A 5,724-nucleotide genomic window follows, 5' to 3' on the forward strand; every position below is an offset into this window, starting at 1 on the left:
GGAAATAATAATCATGGTAGTGGATTGAATGGTGGCTTCCCCCCTCCCCCAAAAGATGTCCCCATGTCAAATCATCTGAACCAGTGAATGTAATTTTATTTGGAAAAGGGGTCTTTGCAGGTGTAAAGATTTCAAGATGAGACCATCCGGAATTATCTGAGTAGGCACTATATTCAATGTCAAGTGTCCTGATAAGAAAAGGAGAGGACACAGGACAGGAGACAGGCCATGTGAAGATGGAGGCAGAGATTGGAGTGATTCAGCCAAAAGCCAACAAATGCCTGGAGCCACCAGAAGCTGAAAGGGGCCAGAAAGGATCCTCCCCTAGAGCCTTTGGAGGGAGCGTGGTCCTGTTGACATGTTGATTTTGGATTTCTCCAGAACTGTGAGAGAGTACATTGGAGTGGTTTGAACCATGAAATTTGTGGTAATTTGTACAGCAGTGGCAAGAAACTGATACACATGGTTATTGATTTTTTCAAATTCTCTACCTGTCAGGTGTGGATTCCTCCTCAATGATGTTTTGAAGTAATGCTATTATGCCCATTTTATGGATAAGGACTACTAAGGCTCATGGAGGAGAAGCAACTCTTTCTTGCTCATTCGTTCACTGAATATTGACTGGCCTCTTAGCTGACCAGACACTGGGGGACAGAGTCATGGGTAAAGGTTTGCAGAGGTCTCAGGGCTTGTAAGTTTAGAGGAGGGAGAATGAATAACCATTACTGGGTTATATGAATAACCCATACTGGGTTGAATAGTGCTTCCTCTCCCCAAACTTATTTCTACCTTGGACCTTGGAATGTGACCTTTTCTGTGAAATGGGAGAGTTCCCTGATTCCCCTGGCAGGATGTGCAACAGAGGTGCGTCTTGCCTATTCAGTCACCCCGCAGCTCAAACACCTAGGGGGAGCATGCAGATGGGCAGGTGGAGAGGCTGGGCAAGTGCTTTGGGCTCTTGGCCCCACAGTAGTGTCTACGGGTGGGTGCTTGCAACCCCAGTGTTACAAAGCTCTTTCAGCTTTGCCATCTGCAGATGGCTTGAGTGTTAATCAGCTCAATGGACCCTCGGCCTTATCAGAAGGGCAGAGGGCCAATGTGACAGCTTTCTGTATCCTGAGCTCTTGCCCAGTGTCTCAGAAGAATCACATCACACAAGGGTTTGAAGGATGAATGCAAGGTTTTATTGAGTGGTAGAGATGGCTCTTAGTGAGATGGATGGGGAGCGTGAAGGGGGATGGAGTGGGAAGGTGATCTTCCCCTGGAGTCGGGCTGCCCAGCCGCTGGACTCTTCTCTGACTGGCCCCAGCCAGACTCCTCTTGGCGTCCAGACATCTCTCCTCTTCTCTCTTTCTCTGCCACTTTGTTCCACCATCCATCTGCTTGCCTCCTTGTCTCCTCGCCTGCTGGTCTGTATTCTGGAGCTTGGGGTTCTGGGCTTATATGGGGGCAAGATAGGGGGCGTGGTGGGCCAAAAGGCAACTTTGGGGGCTTGAAAACAGGAATTCCCATTCTCATTTAGGGCCTCAGGTATCCAGGCTTGAGGGTGGGGCCTTTGCTGGAGAACCACCCTCTTCTACCCAGTGTCACCCTGTCTCCTGTCTGTATCATTTGGAAATAACATTACAGATATAATCAAGTTAAGACAGGTCATTCTGGGTTAGGGTGAACTCAAATCCAATGACCGGTATCCTTATAAAATGAGGGAAATTAGGACAGAGAGACACGGAGAGAAACTCACGTGACCATGGGCAGAGATGAGAGTGATGTGTCCACAGGCCAAGGAATGCCAAGGATGCTGGCAGCCACCAGAAGCTGGAGGAGGCAAGGAAAGATCCTCCCCTGGAGTCTTCAGAGGGAGCGTGGCCTTACACACATCCTGACTGCCAATTTCTAGCCTCTAGAGCTGGGAGACAATGCATACGTGTTGTTTTAAGCCATCCAGTTTGTGGTCATCTGTTACAGGAGCCGCTGGAAACTTATACGGCATTTAAGAAATATATATGATTGTAGACGTGGAAAGCACAGCTTAGGGGGCTGTGGGAACCTGGGAAAGGGAATGGAGGGGTGGGCAGGGAAGCTTCTTCCAGGAAGGCACGCTGGAGCTGAGACTGAGGGTCGGGTAGCAGTTAAGTGTGCAAAGAGGGATGGGAAATCTGAGCCAGAGGGAAGAACAGGTGTGAAGCCTCTGGTTTGAGAAGGACCTCGGTGCAGGAGGAGTGGAAGGTCAGCGCGCAGAGGGGAGTAAGGCAGGCAGCGGTGGGGCCACAGCCTGTGCGCCAATCATGACACATTCCCGTGCCCTGCGCTTCTGGTCCCTGGCTTCTCTTCTGGGGGCTGCTGGGTCAGTATGTCTGTGCGTTCTTCACTGGCTAGGTCTGCTCACCCTTTGGGTTCCTTCCAGACTCTCCTCTGACCCCCCCACACTGCCTACCACGCGGGGCGTTTGAACACGAATTTGGAGGTCCTTGTTTGTCCTTGAACGCGGCAGGGAGTGGAGGAAGGCGCCGGGAGGAGGCACAAAATCGCTTTGTGCGACAGCGCCCGACAGCTTCTCCGCCCGGAGCCGGCTCCGCCGTGAATGGGCCGCGGACAAAGGCGTCCCCTCCCAAGTACCTGTAATTGGAGCGTCCATGTGCGCGGGCGCTGCTGAAATGCAATGGACAAAAGGGAGAGGAATGGCCGCATCTTCCGGCTGCCCGTTGCTATGGTTTCCGCGGAGCTGGTGAAGGGGAGGGCTGTTACCAGGCAACGGGAGAGGGACCAAGACAAAGGGAGCTCAGGAGAGGGAAAGGTCTGGGGCAGGTGTGAGTACGTGTGCCGTGAGGTGGGGCGGAGACAGAGGAGGATGTGAGAGAGACACCGAGGACAGAGGGAGACAGAGGGGAGAGATAAGAGAGAGACAAAGAGCAGGGAGAGGCAGAGAGAGAGAGAGAGGGAGAGAGAGAAAGAGAGAGAGAGGAGAGAGAGAGAGCGAGAGCAAGAGGGCCACATTAAAAAACAGCTAACAGAGGCTCATAGAGACAGACAGGGACACGGAGACATTCATTCACTTACTGTGTGCCAAGCCTGTGTGCTTCTGGAGACAGGGCTATTAGCAAGAGAGACACCATCCCTGACCTAAGAACTCAGAGACCCAGAGAGAAAGAATGATGCTAGAGATAGAGCCAGAGGTAGATGCTTCCCTGCCTCCCCTGGGGTGACTGGGGCTTTCTCTTCAGGCCATTGTCTCCTGGAAGCTGGTGACTTCCGGGTAGGGTGTGCTCAAAGTCATCGTACCCTTCCTCCTGACTCAGGGCAGTGTCCACAGGCAGCTCCACTCCCAGGAGGCTGTTGTACAAAGTGACTTCTGGTTGAACAATGCTCAATCTCTCCCTAGCAGCTCTTATGGCTTGCCAACTATGATGCTTGAATTTCCCGCCATTATAGTGATCGTGGATAAGTTAACTCACTTAGTAATTATATAGCAACAAAATGCTGTTAAGCGTGTTGCTCAATTGCTCCTGTATGCTAGGTATTGTCAGCATTCTCACTTTACAAGAGTGGAAACTGAGGTTCTGAGAGATGAAATATTTTACCTGGTGTCACACAGTTACTCAGTGCAAAGCCACTAAGGTCTTCTGATCTCTAGCCTGATGTTCTTCCTTCTGCTTATATCCCTGTCTGGGCCATGTCTTATTTGTTTACAAGGAACAGAAGCCTACACAAATTAACTCTAGTGAAATGAGAGCTTTATCAGAAAGACACTAAAGAGATTCCTGAGATCCAAGGGCAGGAATCAGAGCTGGTTTTCACAAGAAACTCCACTGGGTACTACAGAGAGCTCAGAAGTCATGGAGACTATTCTTTCTATCTCTTTCTGAGACCTCCTGGTGGCTCCTCTCTGCTTCTGTCTGCACACTGCTCAGTGCCAAAAATGCCAAAATGACCTTCAAGGAAGTCTTTCTTTTCCAGTTTACATTTTCAAGAGACAGCCTGATTGGCTCACTTAGATCAAGTGTACAGTTCTGATCCAATGAATTCTGGCCAAGGGTCAGGCCCCTAGCATACAACATGAGTGGCCAATTGACTTGTGGCCAGTTCTTCAGCAGGGGCTGCCAAAACAGGTGCTGTGGATGGGACAGACATCATGAGTTATCTATGTAAACTCACTCACTTCTATCCTGGGGATACCAAGAGTAACCTTGCCTGCCTTCCAGGGCTGTTGTAAGGAGCTCATACTTATCGAAGGAGTTTGTAAAGTGTTAGGTGCCACAGAAGACCAAGTAACTACATAGGTTAAATGGTAGTATCTGGATGACAAAACCGTATTGTCCTTCTTCATCTTCTTTGCCAAGATCATGGCCCGAGGCCAATGGGGCAGCATGCAAGAAAGTTGTTATTGACAAGGGAGTGAAGAAAGGAAGAGTTCAGAGGATACCTGAGCTAAAGTGTGTACCATGATGAAATGAAAACGACGAGGAGGATGTTATTCCTCCATTCTCTCACTCACCCATTTAGTAAGCCCCGTGAGCCTACAATGTGCAAGAAACTATACAAGATGATAAAGATACAATGGTGAAAAAGACATGGCCTCTGTTCTTCAGGGACTCAAAGGGGGTGAGGCACCAGGCACATAACCTGCCAGATACTATGTATTTTAAGATGTGCTATGAGAGAGATGTAATGGTATCAGAGGAGGTGACTTAACTCAGACAGCAGCACCAAGGAAGGTGTTGTACCAAACACCTGTCAACTCCAACTGAAATGGCACTGTGCCCTGGAGACAGTGAATGAGACCTAGGGTTTACTGGAGGAACTTAAATACAGGGACATTTGATGCTCAAATGATCTCATCTTTGGCTAGTGGAAGACTATTAAAGTTGGTCCTTGAGTTCTCTAGAAATAACCCTAATATATCAACAGCTTTCTCATACTTTGGTATGATAATCTTTTCAGACTTATCTTATACATTTGCTACTCAAAGCCAGAGTCAGCCATTTCTCCAAGGAGCTCAGACCTCTTTGAGTGGGAAAATGGTATTTGAGACCATCATCTGGGTGGTGGGAGTGCTCACTGCTCCTGGGTTTGTTATTGGCTCTAGGTCTTTTAAGAGGACAGTTAGAAAATGCATACTTTTTAGGAGAAAACACATCATGAGTTTATACTGATATTTCTCATTCAAAATCAGGATACAGTGTTTTTCCTTTGATCATATATCTCTTTTCAACTGAAAACCTTGATTTTTAATGACATGAAATTAGGTACTCATTGCTTTATTTTACAATACAAATATATTTTGGAATTGCAATAACAATATTATTACTAAAAATATCATTGAAAAAAGATTATCAGCTAGGATTTATTCAGTTTCTGGCTTTGTGCCAGGCATGATACATATATCATATTGCTTAATCCAAAAACAAACCGGGAGGATGATGAGATTATCATCTCTATTTTACTCCTGAGAAATTTGAGGTTTAAGAGGTCACAAAGTCACAAGTCAGTATGTGATGAAGGCAGCATTTTAATCCCCAACTATCTGACTCCATTACTTTCTACTACTTTGGGTTTTAGTTTTTTTCCTCTTGTCTTTTGGCATTAATGAGGTACCTGCTCTCTAATTGCATGGGCTACATGGTTATTTAATACTCCAAGGATGACTTGACATCGATTATTTGAAAATGCGTAGCTGAGAAAGAGAGAGAGAAAAAGAGGGAGAGAGAAAAGAAAGCAGTTTACTGG

General features: G+C 47.4%; 1 long non-coding RNA gene across 1 annotated transcript; it reads right to left on the bottom strand.

Annotated features, from left to right (window-relative positions):
* Positions 1–1,161: 1,161 nt before the first annotated feature.
* LINC02440 (long intergenic non-protein coding RNA 2440) lies at positions 1,162–2,736 on the bottom strand. The gene is made up of 3 exons (NR_183608.1): positions 2,617–2,736; positions 1,742–1,906; positions 1,162–1,433 (listed from the first exon to the last, which is right to left on the bottom strand). It is a non-coding gene; the product is annotated as a long intergenic non-protein coding RNA 2440 (long non-coding RNA).
* Positions 2,737–5,724: the final 2,988 nt, after the last annotated feature.

This window comes from Homo sapiens, chromosome 12 (assembly GCF_000001405.40).
Source record: "Homo sapiens chromosome 12, GRCh38.p14 Primary Assembly".
Lineage (NCBI taxonomy): Eukaryota > Metazoa > Chordata > Mammalia > Primates > Hominidae > Homo > Homo sapiens.